At 35.6% G+C, this 27103-nt stretch overlaps 1 protein-coding gene across 1 annotated transcript in view; it reads left to right on the top strand.

Moving 5' to 3' along the window:
* Positions 1-27103, top strand: part of USH2A (usherin) — an 800558-nt gene that overhangs the window by 439020 nt on the left and 334435 nt on the right. Inside the window, exons 36-37 of the mRNA NM_206933.4 lie at positions 13653-13804; positions 18950-19112. Coding sequence (NP_996816.3) covers positions 13653-13804; positions 18950-19112 — 315 coding nt within the window. The remainder of the gene's footprint in view (positions 1-13652; positions 13805-18949; positions 19113-27103) is intronic.

Below are 27103 nucleotides of genomic sequence, written 5' to 3'. Positions count from 1 at the left end.
ATGGGAATTAAGTATCCATTTTGTGGATTATCCATTGAAGAACTGAATGTCTAGAACTAGATTAAATTAAACTGAATTAAGCCAGAACCTGACCCCCTTTGCCACATGGCATGTTACAGTTTTATTTTGCTTCAGCTGTCTTACTGATTATTAGTGCCAGAGAATAAGCAAGAAAAAGCCTGAAAAAATACAATATGGTACAATATAATAGAGTAAGTGATTTTTTATGGTGAATATTTCTCTTTTGCTTTTCTAGATTCACTCTTTTTCAACTCTGCCCCGTGCCCTGTAAGGCTGAACCTTCCTCACAGTGGCAATGGGCTTCCTCTCTCTCTGGCTTCCTGTTGGTTTGTCCATGGGCAGCAACGGCAAAAGATGAGAGGGTGAGAGGAGCATGGAGTCTCAGAACTCATTCTCCCTGGCTCTCTTTCTGCATGGCTCTGGATTCCAGGGTTGCATTCCTCCAGTAAAGGCTACATTTCCTATTTGAAGCCTCTTTCTTTCTCCAGGTTCCTGAATTTGTTCTCACCCTTTCCTCTAAAAACATAAAGAAGTTTACTGGCTCCTAGCCAACTAGTTAAAATGGTCTAGGAATCTTAGCTAGTACTAGCTGGGAATGCTTTATTGTCACTGGTTGCTTTCCCTTAACCCTGTCCGCATCTTTGTAAATAGGAGTTCCACTAAAATCTTTTCCATGCCATTTGAGTTGTCATTGGTTTCCTGTTGAAACCCTGACTCATTCCTAAATTTTATTTAATCCACATTTAACACGGAGAGGTGTTTTTTGTGTGTGTGTGTTTGTTTTTTTGATGGGGGGGTAGTGCGTGAAGATAAATTTAAAATGACTTTCTTCATGCTAAGAGTGGCAAGAATAAATAAGTAAATGAACAAAATTTCCATTTTCTTAAACTTTGTTTCAATACAATAGACATCTTAAAGGCCAATAAGAAGAGCCAAGCTCAAAGATTCTAGTGGCGGCTTGCTTATCTAATAAACCCATCATATTTAATTTTTCAAATAATAATCAACTTATTGATATATCTTTGAAAGCTTTTCACTTATTGTTATAAAATATTTCTTTGTTATCATTAGTGAAATAATGGCTTATGACATCTTCCTCTTGATGAAGTAGCTCTGAGTGCCAAGTTTAGCTTATAGGTCAGTTTCGGCCAGGCGTGGTGGCTCAAGCCTGTAATTCCAGCACTTTGGGAGGCTGAGGCGTGTGTATCACCTGGGGTCAGGAGTTCATCAGGAGTTCAAGACCAGCCTGGCCAACATGGCGAAACCCCGTCTCTACTAAAAATACAAAAATTATCTGGGCATGGTGGCAGGTGCCTGTAATCCCAGCTACTCTGGAGGCTAAGGCAGGAGAATCACTTGAACCTGGGAGGCGGAGGTTCCAGTGAGCCGAGAGTGTGCCATTGCACTCCAGCCTGGGCAACAAGAACAAAACTCCATCTCAATAAATAAATAAATAAAATTAAATAAAAATCAAGGTCAGTTTCTCAGATAAGCCCTATTACGTATCCTACCCAGACTAGGTTAGCATCCACCTCTCCCTTCTCTATCCCATGTTTTCCTTCTATCCATCTGATTTTTAAAAAGTAAACTTTACATCCTCATAATACCTCTAATGTCTGTTCTTTCGCTTAGATTGAAAGTTTTGTGAAGGAAGTAACCATGACTGTTCTGACAACTTCTGTATTACCAGCATGCAACACAATGTCTGGCTCATAGTAGCTACCCCATAGTTACTGATGAGCCAGATGACTACCAGAAACCAAATCTAAATCCAGCAGACTTACAAAAATTATTTTACAGTATTTAGTAAATACTTGTTTCTTTGCACTTTCTGGACTTCATTGGAAAGGAATGAATTTTAAATGAAAAGATAGCATACAAATATAAGAAACTATTGGCTAATGACAGATAGTGTGCCACGGAGGAATACAGACCTGCCTAAGCTTGTTTTTGAGAGATGTTAGTTTAGTTTTTACAAGAGAAGTGCAGCACATGACATAGGTCAGAATTGGAGGAGATAGTCTAAGGTGAGCTTCCTATAGCAAGTAAAACTTTAACTCATACTAGAAGCAAGGGGACAGTTCTGTGTGTGTCCCTTCTATGTGCACAGTGCTTATTACTAAAGCACATTCATATATGCTCACTTGTTTGATTCTCAGATCAACTGTCAGGCCACCAGGGCAAGGAATATTACCCCATTTTGTTGGTCAAGAAATGAAAGCTTAGTGAGTTTTGCTATCTAACCAAGTTTTAAAGGTACGTGGTCATGACAGAAGGGCTGAAGTGGTTGGAGGAAGATCCCTGAAAAAGAAGACAATTGGCTTGGAAGCTTTTGACTTTGTTTTGAAATAGTTCCCAGAACAGGAGACGCACTCAAGAACTAATTTGTTGATTGAATGATTACTTACGTAAATGTATATGCACAAAATTGATACTTCAAAATAATTGGCCATACAATTTATCCTGTTCTGCAACTTGCTTTTTTTCTCTAATTCACATGGAGTAAACATCTTTTTATGTCAATAGCATAGTGCTCCCTCATTTTTCCTCAAAGCTTAGTAAAATGCCATTGAATGAAACCACAACATTTATAGAGGCTATCTGGTAAATGATTAATATCCATTCCTTGCTACAGCTACATCTCATTAATGCCAGCTAACCATTAATTATAAAAGATGTTGACAATAAGGTTTGGTGCTTGGACTAGTAGATAGTCCTCAAATGGATTCTCATTTATTTGGATTTGGTATACTCCTTGAGGTAGTGTTGCAAGGAGTGTTTAGCCAATAGTTATATCCTGAGGAGTCCTCAAGGCCTGAGGAGAGGACCCTGAACTAGCTGTTAAGCCTCCTCCTCTAAAACAAAGTCAAACAACAGGGTTGAAAGTCAAAGAATGAAAGAGAAAAGAAAGCTGATGTGCCTATTTTAATATCAGACAAGACTTTACAGTGAGTAGTATTATTAGTTATAAAAATGTAGTTTCATAATAATAAACGAGTTACTAAAATTAACATTTATTTTTTATCAAAATATACTATAAGGGCCCACAAAGATAAATAATAAGAGAGATGATATTTAGAACACATGTAACCATCAGAAAACTGTATCCAGAATATATAAAACATGCCTACACATCTATAACAAACTGGAGTTAACATCTGAAAAGTCATTTCACAAAAGAAGAAAAATTAAATGTCTGATAAACATAAGAAAATGGGCCAACTTCTGTAATAATCCAAAAGTAAAAGATAATACCCAAACAAGATACCATTTTTTACATCTAATACTGGCAAAAATTTCAAAGTCTGACAATAAGGTCTTTTTGAGGATATAGAACAATGAGAACTCACATGGACTCACATGTACACTAGAATTGACATACTTTCAAAAAGAGATGAGCATTGTCTAGTAAAATTGAACATATATCAACAATTCCTCTCCAGGACATTTGTCCTAGAAAATTTGTGTATGCGCTTCAAGACACATATACAAAAATGTGTATAATTACATTGATGTCATAGCCAAAGTATAAAAACATTCTAAATATCTATCAAGAGTAGAATAAATAAATAACATTTGCCCTGTAGGAATACTACACAGTAATGAAAATGAGTGAAGTATGGCTACTCTCAAAAACATGTATAGAACACATGAATATCATGTTACACAAAGCAAGATGAAAAAATTATATATACAACATAACTCTATTAATATAAGTTAGAAAACCATGAGAAACTTAATTATGTTGTTAAGGGATGCATTTCTCAGTAGAAAAGCAAGGACATGGTTCTTCAAAAGTCCTCATATTTATCTGTGAGGAAGGGAAAGGGATCCAATTATGGACAGGAGATTTCTGGGGTGCTGGCAACATTCTATTTTTTCAACGTGAGTGATGGTTACATGGCCTTTTGCTTTTAAATTTGTCATTAAAATAGAATTGATATTGTATATATTTTTATATGTTATGTTTTATTACGTGATTTTTAAAATGTAGAAAGAATAGGTATATGGAAGCCGTAAAGTTGTATGCACTGTAGAGTCTGAATGCTTCAGTGCCGACACATAGCTCTACCACTTCCTAGCTGTATAACACTGGCCAAGTTACCAAACCTCTCTAAAAGCTTTTCTTGTCATCTATTTCTCTCATCTAAAATAGAACCCATTCCACTATCAAGAGTTTTTCCTGAAGATTAAATAGTACTTGATTAAAACGCTCAATCCAGTGATTATTGCTTTAGCATAAACTTCTTTGGACTTTAAAGTGTTTGTGTCTTCTTACCTGGCATGCTCCCCTGCACAACAGTATTTTTTAATTTAAATATTTTATTTTGAGATAATTACAGATTCACAAGAAATTACAAGAGACAGAGATTCCATGTATCTTTAATTCAGTTTCTCCCAATGTCAACATCTTCTAAAACTATAATACAATATCACAACTAAGATTTTAACTCTGATATAATCAAGACACAGAACAATTCCATCACAAGACATGGTTTCTTCTTATCCTCACACTGAAAAACAATTCCCTTTTTAACCAGGAACAGAAGGGTAAGTTAGTACTTTGGAAGTAGGCTTTTATGAGATTAACGTCATTGTTCATGTTTGATAAAGGAACACTCTTTTCTGAATAGTGATTTTATCATACCATATTGCAATCTAACACATTCCATCCCTAAGTGTCACAAGTTTTTTTTTTAATTAAAAAGAAAGTATATATAACTGCTAAAGATATTTCTTCTGCCACAGACTACTGCTGAAATGCAGCATTCCCACATCCCTGCCTCATTCACGACTACTTCCTATACATTCAGGAAAAGACGTCTTTAATAATTATTTTTCCTGTTTGATATTTTTAACCATCTCACTGTTACTACCTGCATGGGCTTCCCTACTCCAGTCTATTTTACATGTGATTCTAGATTATTTTTTCTGTATATGACTTTATCTTGTCGCTAGTCAGTTCATAAAAACACTAATGGTCTCCTGTGCATCATAAAATCCCAACTCCTTGTAGTGTCATTCAAGGCCCCAAATTCCCTTTGAAGTTTTGTTTTCTATTAGACTTTATCGAGTGATATGGTTTGGCTCTGTGTCCCCACCCAAATCTCACCTTGAATTGTGAAAATCCCCATGTGTCATGGGAGAGACCCCGTGGGAAGTAATTGAACTATGGGGGGCATGTTTTTCCCATGCTGTTCTCCTGATAGTGAATAAGTCTCATGAGATCTAATGGTTTTATAAAGGGGAGTTCCCTGCAAAAGCTGTCTTACCTGCTGCCATGTAAAACATCCCTTTGCTCCTCCTCCACCTTCTGCCATGATTAGGAGGCCTCCCTAGCCATGTGGAACTGGGGAGTCCATTAAATCTCTTTCCTTTATAAATTACCCAGTCTCAGGTATGTCTTTATTATTAGCATGAGAAGGGACTAATACATCCAGCTACAGGAATAACAACAGATTATTGATCTATTTGGGATACCTTTACTGAACCTTGCACTTTCTTACTTCTAGGCAGTGGCAAATGTCATTTTCCTCACCAGAAGCATCTTCCTGAGACATAGGTATTTCACATATTACCTTTCATGGGAGACTTAGCTTCATCATATGACTTATTGAAGTCCCCACTACCGTATGTGGAAGACTTGACTGCTCTAAAAAGCCTGTAACACTTCTTTAGCCAGAGTGATTATTCCCTGCTAGAGGGTCCTGTACCTACTGTCTACTATTTAATTATGTCATTTGTTTGGCATAAAGTTGTTGTGGTGCTTATGATCCTTGTTTAACCCTTGAATTGTTATTTAATTATACCTATGTTTAACTCTTTTCTTACTTCCATAAAGGTAGATATTATTCTTATTCTGTTCTTACTTCCCAAAATACCAAGTATAGTACTTTGCACTTGATTGACTTTCAATATATTTATATTAATCTTTTTATTAGGCTTATCTTGATTGCTTTGAGAACCAGAGCATGTTCACCAGTTCTTAATTCAAGTGAAATTCCTAAAAATTTTAGAAGAGGAAATTAGACCAGAAACATATAACAAGAGTAGTGACCAGAGTGGGGTAAGATGGCCAGTTTCCACAACTAAATTTATATTTGTATGGCCCTGTAAAATGGGTTAGCCCCTCTAAGAATCCATTCCCTCCTCTTTACAGCAATGACAACAACAATTCTTATTTTTTGGAGTTGTCAGTGTTAAAGAAAATAATGCATAAAAGCATGTACCCTATTGTCTGTCTCAAAGTAAGTGATCAGAACATTTTAATTTTCTTTTTTAAGAAAGGCTCTCACTTTGTCACCCAGGCTGGAGTGCAGTGGTGCAATCATGGCCCACTGCAGCCTCGACCTCCTGGGCCTGAGTGATTCTGCCACGTCAGCCTCTCAAATAGCCAGGACCACAGGCACATGTCATCATGCCCAACTAACTTTTTGCATTTTTTGTAGAGACAGGGCTTTGCCACATTGCTCAGGCTGGTCTCGAACTCCTAGACTCAAGCGATTCACTTGCCTTGGCTTCTCAAAATGCTGGGATTATAGGCATGAGCCACCATGCTTGGCCTGAGCATATTTTAAATTACTTTAAATTATTTTGGGCTGGTGGCAGTGGCTCATGCCTGTAATCTCAACACTTTGGGAGACTGAGGAGGGTGGATCACAAGGTCAGGAGTTCGAGACTAGCCTGGCCAATACAGTGAAATCCCGTCTCTACTGAAAACACAAAAATTAGTTGGGCGTGATGGCGGGCACCTATAATCCCAGCTACTTGGGAGGCTGAGGCAAGGGAATCGCTTAATTCGCCTCCTGGGAGGCGGAGGTTGCAGTGAGCCGAGATCATGCCACTGTACTCCAGCCTAGGCTACAGAGATAGACTCCATCTCCAAAAAAATTAATTAATTAATTTAAAAAATTATTTTAAGTATTCTATAATTTTGAAAATACTTACATGGCATTTCAAGGACTCAAAATCTTACTTTCCCCAGAGCTACTCATAAATCAAAACTTTGTTTAAAATAAATGAAAACAGAGGTACAACATACCAAAATCTCTGGGATGTAGCAAAGACAGTGTTAAGAGGAATGTTTATTGTGCTAAATAGCTACCTCAAAAAGTTAGAAAGATCTCAGTTTAACAAACTAACATCTCACCTAGAAGAACAAACTAAACTCGAAGCTAGCAAAGATTTTTTTTATTACTGATTCAATTTTCGAACTTGACATTGGTCTGTTAAGGGTTTTAATTTCTTCCTGATTCATTCTTTGGAAGTTGTTTGTTTCTAAGAATTTTCTCTGTATTTTCTAGTTTGTGTACATAGAGGTGTTTATAATAGTCTCTGAGGATGTGTTTTGCTTGTTTGTTGTTGTTGTTTTTGGTAGGAACTGCCTCCCCTACCCCGCCGAAAAAAAAGAAAAAAAAAAAAACTGGACCAGGTGGATTCACACCCAAATTCCACCAGATGTACAAGGAAGAGTTGGTAATGATTCTACTAAAACTGTTACAAAATATCAAGAAGGAAGGACTCCTTCTTAACACTTTCTATGAGGCCAGCATCTCTCTGATAGCAAAACTTGTCAAAGACACAACTAAAAAAGGAAACTACAGGCCAATATTCCTGATAAACATAGACACAAAAGTCCTCAACAAAATACTAGCAAACCAAATTCAACAGCACAGCAAAAAGTTAATTCAACACAATCAAGTAGGCTTCATTCCTAGGATGCCAAGTTTGGCTAAACATATACAAATCAATAAATGTATTCATAAATCTCCTTGAGTTGGAAATATATTTAAAAACATGATTCATCATATAAATAGAACTAAAAGCAAAAATCACACGATCATCTCAATAGATACAGAAAAAGCTTTCAATAAAATCCAATATACCTTCATGATAAAAGCCCTCAACAAAGTAGGCATCAAAAGAACATACTTCAAAATAATAAGAGCTATCTATGACAAACCCACAGCCAACATCACACAGAGCAGGTAGAAGCTGGAAGCATTCTATCTGAGAACAGGAACAAGATAAGAATGCCCACTCTCACCACTCTTACTCAACATAGTTCTGGAAGTCCTTGCCAGAGCAATCAGGCACAAGAAAGAAATAAAAGAAATCCTACTAGGAAAAGAAGAAGTAAAACTATCTTTCTTTGCTGATATGATTTTATGCCTACAAAACCCAAAAGATTCCACCAGAAAGTTCCTGGAACTGACAAACAACATCAGTAAAGTTTTAGGATACTAAATCAATGTGTAAAAATGAGTAGCATTTCTATACACCAATAATGTTCAAACTGAGAGCCAAATCAAGAATGCAATCTCATTTACAATAGCCACAAAACAGTAAATTCCTAGGCATACATCCATCCAAGAAGGTGAAAGATGTCTACAAGGAGAACTAGAAAACACTGGTAAAAGAAATCGTGTATGGCACAAATGGAAAAATGTTCCATGCTCATGAAGTGGAAGAATCAATAATCACTAAAATGGCCATAGTGCCCAAAGCAATTTACAGATTCAATGCTATTTCTATCAAACTACCAATATCATTTTTCACAGAATTAGGAAAAAGCTATTCTAAAATTCATATGGAACCCAAAAAGAGCCCAAAAAGAGCCAAAGCAATTCTACACAAAAAGAACAAAGCTGGAGGCATCACATTACTCAACTTCAAACTATACTATAAGGCTACAGTAACCAAAACAACATGATACTGGTACAAAAACAGACACATAGACCAATGGAACAGAAAAGAGAATCTAGAAATACAGCTGTGCACCTACAGCTATCTGATCTTTTACAAAGTCAACAAAAATAATCAATGGAGAAAGGACTGCCTATTTTAAAAATGGTGCTGGGGTAGCTTGCTAGCCTTATGCAGCAAACCAGACCCCTACTTTTCATCATATACAAAAACTAGCTCAAGATGGATTAAAGATTTAAATATAAGATCTCATATTATAAGAATCCTAGAGGAAAACTTAGGAAACACCATTCTGGATGTTGTCCTTGGGAAAGAACTTATGACCAAGTCCTCAAAAGCAATTGCAACAAAAATTGACAAGATAAACCTAATTAAACTAAAGAGCTTCAGCACAGCAAAATAAACTATCAACAGAGTAAACAGACAAATTACAGAGTGGGAGAAAATATTCACAAACCATCCATTTGACAAAGGTCAAATATCCAGAATCTATAAGAAACTTAAATCAACAAGTAAAAAACAAATAACCTCATTAAAAAGTGGGTAAAAGACATGAACAGACACTTCTCAAAAGAAGGCAGACAAACAGCTAACAAACATGCTCAACATCACTAATCATCAGAGAATTGCATATCAAAACCACAACGAGTACCATCTCACACCAGTCAGAATGACTGCTATTAAAAAGTCAAAAAACAACAGATGCTGGCGAGGCTGCAAAGAAAAGGGTTGAATGCTTATATACTGTTGGTGGGAATGTAAATTAGTTCGGCCACTGTGGAAAGCAGTTGAAGGTTTTTCAAAGAACTTAAAACAGAACCACCATTTGACCCAGCAACCCATTACTGGGTATGTACCCAAAGGAAAACAAATCATTCTACCAAAAGAAACATGCACTCGTGTGTTCATCACAGTACTAGTCACAAGAGCAAAGACATGGAATCAGCCTAGGTGCCCATCAACAGTGGGTTGAATGAAAAAATATGATACATATACACTACGAAATACTATACAACCACAGAAAAAACCCTGAAATCATGTCTTTTGCAGCAACATCTATGAAGCTGGAGGCTTTTGTACTAAGCAAATTAATACAAGAACAAAAAAACAAATATTGCATATTCTCATTTATAAGTGGGAGCTAAACATTGGGTATTCATGGACATAAAGATGACAATAGACCCTGAGGATTAATGGCAGGGAATGGGGAGTAAGGACTGAAAATCTAACTGTTGGGTACTATGCTCACTATCTGGGTGATGGGATCATTCACATCCCAAACCTCAGCATCACACAATATACCCATGTCAGAAACCTGCACATGAACCCCCGAATCTAAAATAAAAGTTGGAAAAAACAGCTATTGATACATGTCCTGTGTTCTAGTTAAAGAAAAAAGCATCTTCTTAGGCTTCAGTTTAAAATGTCCACTACATTATATTTGTTAGTTTTTGTTACTCTGTTTAGGAATCTGAGGTCAATGAAGTTAAAATTGTCATGTTAATAGGTGTTTTAGACTTACCGCTTATTAAAAGTATGTTTTAAAGCTGAATCATACAGTGTTTTATATTATATTGATTTTGTTTATATTGAAATCAGCTTAATATGATGTGTGTGTGTGTATCAATATAATACTAGTCCTACAGTGTGGTTCCACAATTCATCCTTCAGCCCTTCCTCCATATGCTGTCAAATACTGTTTACCTACAGGATGCCGGGTAACTCTGTGTTTGTGTGTGTGTGTGTGTGTGTGTGTGTGTGATCTCACCTATGTTAAAGTTAGACTTCATTCTCATCCACCTCTCAATTAGATACATCCTGGATACTAAAAAGTTTTTGAGCAGTTGAATTAACTGTCACAAATATCACTTAATTTCATTCTCAGCTTATTTGCCATGTATTCATCTTAGTCTAAGCCCTTCTTTCAATAACTGTCTGCTCTTCCTATATCCATAGTTCCAGATGTCAAGGTTATCTAGCTTCTCAACATAGATTGCTAAGGGTTGACTTACTAGAGTCAGATAGACAAAAAAAAAAAAAAAAAAGAAGAAGAAGAAGAAGTAAATTTGGAGAAACTGTCACTGAGAGAGGATGTAGAAGAACTCAAACAATGACACAAGAATTGGTAAGGTGCAGTCACTGAGTGATGTTTAGGGTAAAAGCTGGGTAAGAACCCTGTATCTCATCAATCACTGAAGCATTATAGAATTAGAGAATGTAGTCTTTGGTGTCCATAATCAAAGTTTCAGTCTTCACAAAATGATTCAATTATATTCATTATATTCTGTGTGAGAAGACAGGTAAGTGTGTAGAACTTACTAGAAGGATTTCCTTCAAAAGTGGTTAAGATTTTTAGAGTTCATACTTAAGGGGATGAGATTTAGTTTCAATGAAAATTAACTTCTATAAAATATCTCATTTCCCAATATGTCAGATAAATGAGATATTATGCACATAATCCTAACATAAAAGACATTCTCTGTTCCCCAATTATGTAAGAAAAGGGAACTATTGATTTAGGTACTTTGTATCTCAGTTAAAAAGCAGGTCAAATAGGTAGCATTTCAAGGGTCTTATGGTTTCTTTAAGAGATTCTGTAACACACTATTTGTACATAAGATTTTTTTAGGATCAACTGACTGCTTCACAGAGAGCCTGACATGTAAGAATTTTTTGGTCATTGTTATTACCTGATCATATCTTTTTTCCCTTTAAATTTTCTATGTATTATAGGTAGGTGGTGTTTTCACTATGTGTCTTTCACTTCTTAGCTTTAACTCATTTGTGTCTTTGTGTGTCAAGTACTACATAGAATTAAATCAAATACCTTCCATAGGTATTCATAAAGTTACCATAGATGGTCACACCAGAAATAAAGAAAAACAGATACTGGCAGCCACATCTTTTTGTGTGTTTAGAGCTATAAGTGGTACCTGAGAGTAAAATAAAAGATCTTTCCCAAAAATTTGGAAATAAGGGAAATGGACTTATCAGAATGGTAAACTATACAAGGTTGTCTTCTTAAAGGAAAATGAATCACAGCAGTGGCTTTTTAAAAGTATTAACTCATTTAACAAAAAATGCTTTAATCCTAAATGAATGTATTGTCCTAGATCTGATTGGTATAAGAGAAAACATTTCAGATATTCAAAACAGAGGGTATTTTATACAAGTAGGTTGTTCTCAAGGTGTTGTAAAGAAGGGCTGGAAGAACAAAAGGGAAAGGTGGCAGGTACTGGATGGAAGAAAAGGATGATTGACAGGAGCTGGTGCTTACTGCTACACTTGCCGATTTGACATTTGAACCATTATGGGACGCTGCCCCAACCAGAGCTGAAATGCCAACAACATTCCACTACCGAAGAGGCAGAAAATGCAGAAGAGATGCTTCTTCTGTCTGGAATGCTTGAGGCTGCAGGTGCTTTGTCCCCTGCTGACACAGCAGCTGTCAACAAAGCCCTCAGCTCTTGGAGCTAGAAACTGGACGTTTTCTTTCTTCCTGCTTCTGTCCTCCTCACAGTGCCTCCCACTGGCAAAACCCAATAGAAGGCCAACAAGCAAGAGAGTTGGAAATGTAGTTTGTAGTTTGTAGGTTCAGCCGTACAGAACAGGCTATAGAAGCGTGGATGTGTAGCTGGGGCGGACGTCAGATGAATCACCTTCTTAGCTACTCGGCATTCACACACACCCTTGTACTTTTCACCACCTTTCATTACCAATAGCAATCACTCTATGCTTCCAATGAACATGATACTACTATGCTTTGTACAAATGACGGTGCTCTCACCTCCCTCATCACATTCTTATCTGGGTGATGTTAATTCCCCTTTTAGTTCAGGCACAACCCATCTGGATATTCTTCAACATAAAAAAACTAAACTATAAATTAATACCCACTAACCCTATTTACATGAATCAATGGGGAAAGGAGGACGGAAAATTGGCTACAATATACAAATCTCTGTGTCATAAGCAGAAATAAAATATGATAGCATTTATAATTCTTGTTTATATAATTAGTTGTGAGACCATAGCTGATATTTACAACTTCTTCTCTTTGCCCTCAGCTGGTAGTTCATTTGTTTGTAGTTCTTTTATTTTTATTTTTTGTAGAGATAGGGTCTCTCTATGTTGCCCAGGCTGGTCTTGAACTTTGGGGCTCAAGTGGTCCTTCTGCTTTGGCCTCCCAAAGTGTTGGGATTACAGGTATGAGTCACCACACCCGGCTTATTTGGAATTTTTTACTTAGGCCACTGGATCTTCATTACTAAGGGGGTCTATGTCCTTCCTGTTCTATCTTGATTGGGTTGCTGCAGATTTTCAATGCTTATATGATTGGACCTGGTCATATAAAGAGATGCCCTTTTGAATGTCCTGACTGACAATGTGCAGTAGGAAGCCAGTTTCTCCTCCAATATGATACCTTTTCTCTTTGCCTGTTATAGGAATGCTATGAAGAGAGGGTTAAAAAGAAGCCAATGTGTACCAGGTGCTTAGAACAGTGCCTGATACATTATGAGTCATATAGAATGCATTAACAAATAAGGTCGATTTACTTCTGGGGCATATCTATTAAGAATATCTTCTTTTAGAAAGCAATACAAATTATAAGTATGCTTCACTTATTAATTTTTGATCTGGAACACACATGACAACAGTTAACAGGATGCAATAGAAAGATTCTCATGCTGGAACTGTTGGGTTCTATTTCTGTCTCTGTATTAATTAGGTTTACAGTTTGATATTCAAGGGTAACATCTATTTTATCCTTTGGTAAGAGACAGAGTTTAGACAAGGAGAAATACCAGAGTCTGTGATTTAATGATTCCATGAAACTAGAAATCACATCAAGAGTGCTTGCTTTCTTAAGACCTTCTTTGCTATTGTCTAGTAGTCATACTGAAAGGCAATTATTATCTTCCCAGGTGTTATCACGAGTTATGGATTATATCTAGATGGTATATTAATCCACAATTCCTCAGAACTCAGCTATCGTGCTTACGGATTTGCTCCTTGGAGTTTACATTCCTTCAGAGTCCAAGCATGCACGGCCAAAGGTTGTGCTCTGGGCCCACTGGTGAGTATCTAAATTTACATTCTAGGAATGTGTTAAATGTCAGATGACACTGAATATTAAGGAAGAAGTAAGTGGCGGTGACTCACCCTCTGCACAGCTAGCCTTTCAAGCAGGATGGGAGATTTTTCTTTTTATAAAAGTTCATTTAAGAGTTACTAAGATTTTATATTCGACATAAATTTCAAGACTGAACATAGGTCCAGTGAAGGGCAGAGTCTACATTTTATTGAAAGAAAGATAAGTTGGCTAGTGTAGTAGGCAAACATGAAATTTTTCCTAATTTAGTGACATATTGAAGGCAGATGTTTTTCTTTCTAATCATGGGCTCAACATCTAAGTAAGTTTAAGATTAAGAAGTAAAAATAATTGAAAGTCCATAAGTGCCACAATATGGCAACACTGCTCCCCAAAAAGTAATCAATTAAAAGGTTGAGTTTACCTCATCTGTTAGGATAAAATAGTTTCATGTGATACAGCTTCATAAGAATGGTATTTAAAATTACATCAATATCAGCTTTTGATATTCATATTTCAGAAATCTATATCTGAAATGTATATCTATATTTCATTAGCAGTTAACAGCTTGACAAGATTATGTTTTCTATTCCTAATATAATTTTTCAAACCCAATTAATAGCACTTAATTATCATAAACTAGCAGGACAGTCTTCAGTTTCAAAACATCACATTACACTTTGGTGCATTTTTCTTGATTAATTAGATTTTGCTTCTTTAGATGGAAATGCTCATTAGTCTTAGATATTTTTTGGCAATGTTTGCTAATGCCCTATCATTTTAGTGCATGCTGTCTTCACTGAAGAGTATATTATATAAATATTACCTTGGAAGACAGCTCTATGTTTTAATTTCTGCTTCCTTATTTTTGATCACACCTCTCTTTTTGTTTCAGAGATTGGTTGCTTTCCAAGCAGCTAACACCATCCATCGGCGGAGCTGAGCTGTAGTCTTTATTGCCATTAAGCATTTTATAGCCCAGACCCCTCTGATGGATACTTACCCTTAAATGCAGGAATGGCAATAGGCCAGCTTTTCTTATCCATTCAAAAAAAAAAAAAGAAAAAGAAACAAAAGAACACGTCACATGAGATTGAAATTTACACTTTTTGAAAATGTAAGCTGCAAATGGTAGTTCTGGCTACAAAATTGGCTCAGCGGTGTCTCCTGATGTTCTGGCAACTTTAAATAAGGGGGACCTGCATTATCAACCTGCATCCTGCACAGACAGTAGCTACGTTAACCTTAAGAAATCAAATGCCACAAAGCTCTGATAGGAAGGGGGGAATAGAATTGGGTTGTAAAACCTAGTCTGCCATGGCTTCATTCATTCCAGACTCAATCCTGACTTACAGCACAGAGTTATTTTCTCCCTTGGTACTTTTCTTTATGCTGTACTCAGTATGCAAACGCTTTTCCCTAGTCAATGATCCATCTCTAATCACTGGGATTGAAGAGCAATGTCTTTATTTAGAACAAGTCAACTATATGCTACCAAGAAGTTAAAGCCCATGGTCTTCAACTGGTTTGTGAAATATTTTTGTGCCCATTAAGTGATTCCATATCTGAGTATTCTAAATAGCCCTGGATGGCTAGCACAATCATGAAGGATATTACAGATTCAGCTTCTTTTTGTTGATGATTCTTTTAATGTGTCCTTATTGACTTAAGAAATCTATGAATCAATCTTAAAAGGCAGAGTTTTCTATCATTAAATTATGATGTGATACTCAACAAAATTCAGTCAAACGTGGCAATGGTGTACAACGGTTTCTTAAGATATTCATCTAAATAGAGCCCGATGCTATGACATTTTAAATAAAAAATTTCATTGAAACAGAAAATTTATCATTTCTATTTTTAAATATTTTGCTGGCAGAAATCAGAATAAATTTTGAAAGAGTTCAATTTTTTTGTTCATCTAATATTTCTTAATGATAATTCTTGTTCTTTAGATTATCCACACATGCAGGGAAATACTATTCAATGTTTTCTATGAGGAATATGCTTCACAGTCCCAAATATGATATGGTTCATCCTCCAAATTGCAAATTGTTCATATAATAAAAAATATGAATTTGATGGAGAATTTTTAAAAATAAAAAGACATACAGAAGTTCCATATTCTTACCACTTGAATGTAGTATTAGCTCATTTTTTTTTCTAATCTGACCAGTTTGTTAGCTATTATTTATGGTTCAGAAGGAGTTGCCCTGTACCTATCTGGAAAAAACAAAAACAAAACAAAATAAACAGCAGCAACAACAGCAACAAAAAAAACCCACAATGATTCTCCTGTGGTTTTTTTCAGTTCTTACTCAACCAAATAATGTATTTGACTCTTATGGAAATTTCAATATAGAAAACAATTGACAAAGCCTTTGAACCTAATTTTTAGATGCTAATGTGCATTGTCAAGTTAAATTCAATAAATTGGGGTTTTATAAATTTTGAAATAACATAAAAATTAACAGAATGCAGCAGGAACTTTTTAAATGCTTTCCTTGCTTTCAATTGTATTAGAGGGAAACCCTTCACATTTTGTAATATTCTTTAATAAAATACAATAATGTTTTCCATAAGAAAATCACTTTGCTTTCTTACTCCCCACTTAGCCAATGTTACATAACACTAGTGGAGTCTAAGATTGAGAATTTTATGACTGTGTCTTGTATTGTAACATTCATTGGATCGATTCTCCAGGGACTCTTAAGGATGATATGCGAGACTATAGGTCATTGCTATGTGATATGGCTAAAAAGTTGTCTTGGTTCCTTAGTGATGTCATACTTATACAGATAAATACACCTGGATAAATACACATGTACAAACACATTCACCCTTTCACATTTTTTTTTTTTGCAAAGAAGCAAATAAGTGTGTTATTTAAGACATCTAAATCTTAATGGCAATATATAATATAGTCAAGCAAACGCTATAGGGGAAGTCTGCCTTCAACCTGCTTAAACCCCTTAAATCCCTATACCCCCTTAGGAGATATACTTATTCTACAAAGCCTCAGATTTCTCAACTATTACAAAGAGAAATAATGTCTACTTTAAGAGAGTTGGTGTAAAAAATTAAATATAACTTACACAAATTTCTGGCGCATTGCAAGAGTTTTATTAAGAATAACAGTTTATGGCCAGGCATGGTGGCTCACACCTGTAATCCCAGCATGTTGGGAGGTCAAAGTGGGTGGATCACAAGGTCAGGAGTTCGAGACCAGCCTGGCCAATATGATGAAACCCCATCTCTACTAAAAATACAAAAGTTAGCTGGATGTGGTGGCGGGCGCCTGCAGTCTCAGCTACTCCGGAGGCTGAGGCAGGAAAATAGCTTGAACCTGGGAAGTGGGGATTCCAGTGACCCGAGATTGTGCCACTGCACTCCAGCCTTGGAGACAGAGTGAGACTCCATTTAAAAACAAACAAAAGAATTACAATGTATTAAAGTGTTTGTATGTTTTATTGCACATTTGCTCTCAAATATTTTTTCTGTGTCAAGAGAGGTTCCCAGGCCAAAGCCAAGCCAACTTTTACCTTTCCCAAGTGCCTTTTCCACATATTCCTTTTACAGCAAGGTAGATAAACAAAAAAGTAAAATGAAAAAGAAAGACCAGGTCAGAGCAAAATAGTACAATTGCCAAATTCAATGTATAGTAAAAACTGAAGTGTTTATCCAAATATTTAAGGAAATGTTACAAAACATATTTATTTTGAATTAACCAAATATTTGAGGATTATAATATAATTATCTGGAATTGCCCTTAATTCTTCAACTTTTCAAGTCTCATTTTATTTGGAATGCTTTAAAATCATTCTATGTACAATAATATGAACTATATAGATAGGCATAATAAAACAAATTACATTGTCATAAAATATTAAAATGATGAATTGATATTTTTCTGGCCTAGTTTCATCATTTTTGTATGTAGCTATTAAACTAAAAACGAAAGAGCAAGTGTTATAGTTCTAAAGAATCCCATAGCTTTTCTCTGATGAAAATAAAACATGTTGTGACCTCATAGTTATTAAAAATTAACACTTTCTTTTTCACATTTATTTTCATAATTGATAAGGTATAATCACCCTAACAAATAAAGGTTTTCTAATTGATAATATTTCTGCCTAAGGATTTCATGTTTGATCACCTCCTTGGGAGGCAAGAGCTTGTACCTTAAGAATAAAGTTGAAATTATCACATATTTAGTAAATTGTGAAAGGTCAAATATCTATGAGTGATGCTGATGAGTTTGTAGTGATTAGTTAACTGAATTTAAGCTAATGATTAAAAGATATTAAAAATTTCTGAACTCTTTTCTACTTTCTTGCCAACTACATCTTCCTCTGACCACTTATTTTACTTATTTATCTATTGAAATCTTCCTGACCCCGGTACAGCTAGGGATTGCATTTTATTTCAGAGTCTTTCTCTTCAAATAATTCATCTTTTGCTCTTTTCTGCATAGCTTCATTAACACAATCAATATTTTTTTGTGATTGTGCCTTAGGGATAGAGTCCCTAGGATGCATGTATTTCTTAATGTTAGCATGATGCCATTTTTACATAACTGATAGCAACATAGCTCATAAAAATTTTGCGTGTGTGTGCGTGCATGCCTGTACACACATGTATGCATGCGTGTGTGTGTGTGTGTGTGTGTGTGTGTGTGTGTGTGTGACAGAGAAGAGAGAGAGTCAAGATATGTGGTGTAGCTTTTTGACAGAGGCCAGAAGTCTACCACCTAAGTCAAGGACTTATAAAAACAGACTGCGTGCATTTCTTCTCTTTTGCAATCACATAAAAATTATTTTAAAGCAGTCCTAGAATTGGTCTATGGATATGTACAGCCATAGGCACAGTCACAGTGTGAGCAGATCCACATATTCTGGAAATCACAAATAGCTGCCTTGGTCAAGAGCTCAAATTCTAAGCTTTAACAGCAGGGGGAAGAAAACATGAGGTGTGCTTTGATCCTGCTGACAAAATGAGGTATTCATACAAGATGCTACTGTCAAAATAGTTTACTTCACAGCAAAAAGAGATTCTTTGAAGAAATATGCTCAAAGCGAAGCATGTACTTATTTTATTTGCAAACAAAAATAAATCTTTTTATACTCACAGGTGGAAAATCGAACTCTAGAAGCTCCTCCTGAAGGAACAGTAAATGTGTTTGTCAAAACACAGGGATCCCGGAAAGCCCACGTGAGGTGGGAAGCACCTTTTCGCCCTAATGGACTCTTAACACACTCAGTCCTTTTCACTGGGATATTCTATGTAGACCCAGGTAATTTGTTTTTATTTTCTAAACTTTAAATAACATTAGAAAACAACTCATTTTTATTTAAAATCTTTCTTTTGGCTAAAATCTTTCTTTTAGCCACAGATGTTGGTTTCTTTATTTTCCTGAAAATAACCTATACGGATAAGCTACTGCCCGACGGTTCTCAGAATGTGGTTCCCAGAGCAGCAGCAACAGCCACATCTGATGAACGCTTAGAAATGTACGTTGTAGAGCTTCTGCCCCAGCCTAGTGAATCAGAAACTCTAGAGGCTAAGGTCTAACAGTCTGTGTTTAAGCAAACCCTTTAGGTGACACATGCTGAAGAACTAGTATATACTCTTCTTCCCTTGCTAAAAAGTGGTTCAAACCTAAAACATCGTGTATGCAAAGAGTTGAACTATAATTTTGCAGTCCATCTTAAACAAGCCATTTTTGTGACTGTTTTAGATTTCTGAACTATCTTAGTAATTCTGCTGTGTGTTCTGATAAATTTACTGAATGTGGATTAGGCTACATGGGGTTCCTTGAAAGTATTTTCAAAAACTATCTGATTCAATAAGTTAGGTGCTATGGTAGCATGATGTTTATTTTAAGCAAACTCTACCATAAAAAGAGCAGGTATATATTTTAATAGAAACTTTGGATCTGTATTAAGTGCTGTTGTTTATCATCTTCCAGGAGTGGCCTTACTATTTTTGTAGGAGGAAGTTTGAACCTTTATTTTTAAATGAGTAGCAAATATGCAATATCGTGGATTCAGTCAGACATGTTATTAGCATGTTAGTCTGTTGCTTAGGCTTGAAAACGTTTCTTTGTTTCTGAATTTTCTATGAGTCTTTGTAATACTTAATAACATCCTCCAAGTGTAAAAACAGGTGAAGAAAGAAAAAAACAGGCTTTTCTAAATTTGAAAAGGGTGGTTATTTGTGTACTGCACTGGCAAGCAAATGCGAGTCAAGTGCGTGTCAGAGTCTAAGCTGATCCCCTCAAAGATTGGTGTGTCCCTTTTTTATGCAATCAGGGCTTTCATGTATTCTGCTGTAAAGCACTTGTAAGATTATGAGGTGAAGGAGTGATGATCGATTTGAAAAAAGAAGCAACATTTAGGCCGGACCCATGACAGCCCAGCTATTTCCGCCAAGGCAGCTGGGTGAATAATGCAAGAGCCATATTCCCCCTCGTGTTTAATCTTGCATTGTTTTTGCAGAGAAAATTTCTGCTTGCCTTCTAAGTCATGTCATCTTCAGTTGTCATCCCGTCTCTCAAACCATCAAAACGGTATTAAATGTTGCAAAGCTGCGCGGCAAGAGAACTTTCAAAAGTCAGAACCCATTTACCGAACAGCCCTTGTAGAAAATGTATTCTGTTCTCGGCAGAATTTTCCTTCAGTTCTTTCCACTGAGAAGTTTACTGATTTCTCCCAGTGGAATCTGCTGGAATTTATCGGTTCATGGTTGGCAGTCACAGATTAAGGTAAATGTCGATCCGTAATGACCCTCTACATGTTAGTATTGCAGTAAAGCTGGGCTTTTATGTCAAAGATATCGGAGAGGGAGCTATTACACATGACAGGGGTGATCAAGGGACTCCAGACCAAGGCAAGCATTATTAAATATTGACTAGTTCTGTGATTTATGTAGAGCTGGAGGAAAAAAGTGACTTTTTAACCATTATATATTCTTCAGCAACGAAAACCAGCCATTTATCTCCTGCTGGTAATAAAGAACAGAGTGCCTGCATATTTTAGTGGAGGGAAAACCTGGTCTTATAAATGAGATGAACTCCTTCGTGATAACATTTCAGTTTGTTAATTGCCAAAAGCAAAACAGACAAATTGGAAGCAATTACGAGATTTGACTTAAAGAATTTTTGCGGTACGGGTTCAACTCAGGGGTTGGAAAGGGGTGAGGTTGGAAGCAAAAGGAGCATCTGAGATGGGCCCCAGGAAAATTCGTGTCATTGGTTCACTGGCACTGGAACTCTCATGTCCACTGTTAACTGAAAGGATTTTGAATATTGTCTTGTCCTGTCACCCATCAGCAGCTGGGTGACATTTACACTGAGGGTAGGGAGGTCTGCATGGCTCTACAAGAACAAATTAAACATTAATTCATCAAACTTATTTAAGATATCATCTGTTCACTAGATTTATACAAAGCTTATTGAATTGTCTAATGGCTAATTGGTTATTTCCTTGACATAATGAACAACTGTATTTCATCCTTTCCTGTGATGGCTGCTAAAGAGGGGGTGGTTAGAATTTATAAGATAGGGAAATTCAGCTAGTTCAAAGCAAGTGTAGTTTCAACATAAAAGTGCCTGCAGCTGGGTCACTATTTTGCAGGAGAAATTGGGCTGTGTCTGTAAGACACCCTCATGGGAACCCTATTCTTCATGTCAACTCGTATCCTGAACTAAAAACTTTACAAAAACATTAGGTTTCGTAACAACAAGTGAAGTGGCACGTATCAAAGTGTGATTTTTCTTAAAAATTGTTCACTTTTGACCACGTATTATGTTCTCATGAATCAAAATTTAAAAGATAGAAAAAAAGGAAGTAAAGTACCAAGCCTGTTCTGCAGTCTCAGAGGAAAAGTAGTGTGCTCAGCTTCTTATATCCTTCTAGAAATATTTGTCTTATAGGTGTGTGTGTGTGTGTGTATACATAAACAAACACATATTTCCCCCATTTGTAAATACATATAGTTTTCATCTCACACATGCAACATTTTATACTAATGATACCAAGTGGTACACATTATTTTGCACCATGCTTTTTTTCCATCTTAATAATTTCAGAGAAATTATCACAGCAATTCCTAACGAGCTTCCTCATTCTTTATATAGCTTGGTAATATTCAACGGGTTAGAGCATACCATCATTGGTTTAACCAGTTCCTTATTAATGGCCATTTAATTTGTTTCTAATCTTTTATTATTTCAAATAATGCCTCAATGAATAAACATATGGGAATGTCCTTTCACACTTTGCAAGTAAATTAATACGATAAATTCCTTGAAATGAATTGCCAGGTCAAGGAAAAATGAATTTGTAACTTTGTAAGATACTGTCAAATTTCATTCCATAGAGACCATATAATTTATATTCTCAGAAAAAGTATGAGGGTGCCTGTCTCCCCACAGTCTTGTCATCAGAGTGTTGTCAGACTTATCTTTGCCAATTCGATATGTTAAAAATGGTAGCTATTTCACAGTATCTTGAGTAGTTATTAGGAATTAGTTGGAACTTATGAACATATTTTCTTAAGTTTAAAAACTGTGTTTCTTTTTTTTGTGAATGCTTCATTTGTATCTTTTGCCCACATTTTTACAGAGGTTTAAGAAGTTCTTTATATATTAGGAAAATCTGTTATATTAGTAGAAATTTTTCCCTTCATTATTGCTTTTTCCTAGCACTCTACTGCTTTCTTTTATAAAATATTTATATTCAGTTCATCTGAAATTTATACTGATATAATATGTCATGTATGGGTCAAACCTTATTTTCTTCCCAGAAAATTTTCCTTTCTCTCAAAACCATTTACTGAATAATCCTTATTGTTCCCCACTGGCTTGGGTTGTCATCTCCAAGAGCTCCTAAATTTCCATCTTTATTAATAAATACGTGTGGACATATCTGTACCTTTATTTACATTATCAAGGTATCTTAATGATTAAAACTGTAGAATATATTTTATTGCCTTGTAGATCTAGTCCTCTTCATTATTTTTATTTTATATAATTTCCTACTTATTATTTCATATTTATTTTTTTCAAACAATATTTATATATTTCTAATTTTACCCCAGAAGTCCTGATGCTGTTTTTATAAGGATGGAACAGAATTTACAGGTGACTTAGGTAGAATTAATATCTTTATACTGTCGGGTTTTTCTGATCAATGATATCATTATACTTTCTATTTTGTGTCTTTTGTGTCTCTCGCAAGAGCTCAAAGTTTTCTTCATATAGATCTTGCATATTTCTGTTGTGTATTCATTAATATTTTATAATTATACATGATTTAAGTAATTATGATAATATATACATTTTACATATTAACATTAAAATTAAATAACTGAAAAGAGCTACTTTCAATAATTATATGTAGACTTCACTCGCAGATACCTGTCTTCTGAAAGCCACGATTTTAAATGTTTATATCTATTAGATGATCGTTCATCTAACTTTTACAAATATTTGAAGTTTTTTTGCTGCTAAGATTATTGTCATTTTCTCTAAAATGCAGGCATCTTACCAGGGGAAAATGATAATCTAATTAATTAGACTCTCAACTAGTTTGTGGTGTGTAAAATGGCAACAAAGGTTGGACCTGAAGAATCTCTGTCCTGACAGAATTTACAAATAAAAAAGCTAAGGCAGACAAACTTAGCCAAGTTATTCTCAAGTGCATGAGGCAGGAAAGAAACTAGATGGTGTGACAAGTGGAACAGAAATAATTAAGGGAAGATTTTGGTAATACTGGGTCTTTCTCTTTAATTATGGATGAGAATAAACTGAATATGGAAAAACTAAAGAGAATGACGGAGAGAGCACAAACACATGTGAATGGCAAAAATTAACAGATCAACCAACCTACACTTGGTTATATTAGAATGTATTTTTGCCATTTGCTAACATCCACCATAAAAGTAAGGATTAGCACTTTTCTATGGGATTCTACCTGATTTGAAACATCTATTCAATTATGAGGAACATATGATCAACAAATTAGTTTTTCTAGGGTGTGCAAGTGCCATTTACTGACCTGGAATAAGTGCTTTGCTCAATGACTCTCAAGGGTGCACCATTCACCTTGCACAGGTGAATAGTCAACTCCCAGTGATCACTTTACAACATCTTCAGTATTTTTTCACACATATGAATTAACTATCAATTTAAATTATAGATAACAGGTTTATAATCATTCCTTGTGAAACATATTGAATATATAATTTTTAAAAAATAAAACAAATGTGTAAGTTTGGGAATACAAATAAAACTTTACAGCATAGTAGTAGCAACCTGGCTTATGTAAAACTATTTATAAAATTATAAATTCTATTCCATTTAACTGGTAGATGAAAGTATTGTGCCATGATAATTTAGGGTTACATCATTATTTTACAGAGCTTCAAAAGTATTCTCAGCTACAAATATAAAACAACCTAATTGTCAAGAAGAAAAATAAAAACTATGAAAAGATAAAGAAAATATTCTGAGATCCTATAGAATAATTTTTACAAATGGCAGCTTCTTTACTACTAGACTTCCCTTGGATTCTTCACACTGATCCTGTACTTAGTAGACAATGCCATGTCTTAGTACACATATCCTGCTTTTTTCTTAAGTGGTTATTGTGGAGTCCTCTGCGAATTGTTTAATTCTTCATTATCCTTCCTTTTGAATGAATTGGGACGTGATCTTCATTGCTTGATATCCTGACAGATTGCTTTGTGTCAGAGTTTCTAAGGCAAGGCACCAGCGTGTGCTAATTGCTGAGTCCTTTGTGCACTGTTAACTCTCACCTGCTCTGAAAAACTGGATTGCAGCTTAGTTTTCATCTTCAAATGTCTCTTTCTCCTAATCCCCTATTTTGTGCTGTGCCACAGAATAAAGATATTTATTTGAAAAAGAGAGATATGGATTACTGTGGGGGAAAAAAGAGGGTAAATGAAAATGATCCTTAAGCATTAGCAAAGGGAAATGGCATTTTAGAAAAACAAAAGAAAAGCAAAGCAGAATGATCAGTTTTTAATGTTGAAACTGAATCATTTCATGGATCTCAGATAACTCTTTCTGAATGTGGAGAGGTACAACAAACAGGTTTTAGGTGACTTTTCCCAGAGTAAATATGTCTAATCCAAAATAAGTCCTCAAAAGTAAGGGTGGAAGGTAAGGACCGGGAAAGAAAGGAAATGGAAGATAGAAAGAACAATTTTTAAATTGTTAAATGCTCATGAAATGAGCATAATCAGATGCTTTTTATTTGCTTATAAGACCTGATGGTCCTGAAAAAAAGAAACCCAATTAGTATTTAAGAATGTTTTTAAAAAGGCAAATGAAAATTTGGGAAATATATCTGTTATCTCTAGGTGGTTATATTATGAATGGTTTGTCTTCCCATTTTTCCTTTTATATGTACTCAACTTAAAAAAAATTCTATAATATATACATATTATTTTTGCAAAACATTATAAAAAATAGCTCACAAGAGCAGATGATTCAAGAGCAGAGTAATTTGGAGTAAGCATGGTGCTTCTGGCTCCAAGGAGGAGATCCGGGTGGTGAGTCAGAAGTCCTAAGGTGGAAGCTTACAGAAAGAAGGGCATCTTCACATATTTCCAATGATTATTCAGGAAAAGTCTTTTGGTGACTTGTGGGATGTTAAATTTAACTTTCTTCTTATGTTTTGGCTGCATATGTTTTTCCAACAGTTGCTAGGGGTAATCAAACAAAAACACCAAGGATTCTGCAAAACAGAAAAGAAAACTAAATAGGAGTGGTCAGAGAAATAAAAGAGCCTCTTTATACCTGAGACATAATGGTAGTGTTAGGGGAGGACTGAGGCATGGGAGATTTGGTTTTTTTGAGGTTACATTGTGGGGATCAGGAGGGGCATAAAGTTTTTACTGCAGTGGTAACATCTGGAAGGAGTGGGGTGCCTTAAAGACCGATTAGGATATTTCCAGGTAGAAAAGATAGAGTATAAATGTGATGGCTCCCCATCCCCCATTCTCTGAGCCTAAACTTTTTCTTCTGTTATAATTGGAGTCCATATCTCATTTCAATATTGGTATCAAGTGTTTGCTCTTTGGGATAAATCCCCATCTAAAAACAAAAGAAATTAAAGGGGAACGGAAACTGCAGAAATGCAGAAAGTATTTCATTGCTGGTTTAAACTAGATGAAAGTGTATTTTTAACTACAGTTCCGAAAAATCCTAGCACCCAGAATAGGCTTACCTTCTCCTGGAATTGCCAGTTACCAGAAAGAGTGCTTTAGAATGTCAGTATATTCAAATGCTCTAAATCTCTAAAAAATCTTGAAAAACCAAAGAAATGCAGTTGATTTTTCAAGGTTACCCAGAGAAATCCAGTGTCCTTTTCACACACTCTGGTTCTCTGGGTGCTTTTCTCCCCAGAATATACTGTGTTTTATAAAAATTACAAGATGGAAAAAAAATATACAGAAGCGTTTATTTTCTTGAGAAGGTAAGGAAAATAATTATATGTGGGAACCTCTTAGACTTCCAAAGAGTCTGTAGGAAGGCTAATGCTGTTAGGAAAGGGACAGCTTTGTTTTATAGTCCCTGGTATCTGTTTTTTAGTGTGGAGGGAAATCTGCGGTTTCAGAGCTGTGCTTGCAACCCATGCAGTATATCTGACACGCTGCCCTCTGGGAAAACCCGCCAGTGGGGGAATTGTTCCAGTGATGCAGTACAGCTTGTAACTTGGAATCCCGTCGGAGAACTTTGTAGTTGCTTGTCAGTCAGTGGGAAGATAAAAGAGGCAGCTTCTTTTCAAGCAATCTGAATTCATTTTCCCGTAATGAGTTAGGGGGTCAGGCAGCAGGAGTGAGTTCACCTGAGATCTTATAAAGTATATTTCCTGGTGGAAGAAAGAGAGGAGGAGAAAAGGGAACATAACGTCCACCACGCAGCTGTAGAACGGCGTAATGTGGCTTGTCGTTGGTCTATTTCTTTTTATGCCCACATATTCTGATTTCAGAGCATATATTTTTAGAAAGAAAGGTCAAAGAAAGTACAGCTTTATCTCATTTAAAAATATAAAACCCAATCTGTGAAAATTGAAACCCAGTTAAAGTCTAAAGCAGCAAGTGATAGTGTTTCATACACAAATACTCATCAAGCAACAACATGTTAAAGATATTGTACTATGTCTTCTGACATTACATCATTATTAACCACACAATTTATTTTAGAGACTTAGAAGAAATTAAATGAGTGTCATGATAAGGAGTTCTTTTAGTTAC

Source organism: Homo sapiens, chromosome 1, assembly GCF_000001405.40.
Source record: "Homo sapiens chromosome 1, GRCh38.p14 Primary Assembly".
NCBI classification, from domain to species: Eukaryota; Metazoa; Chordata; class Mammalia; order Primates; family Hominidae; genus Homo; species Homo sapiens.
The sequence above is the reverse complement of the archived record's forward strand: the minus strand, read 5'-3'. Positions and strand labels throughout refer to the sequence as shown.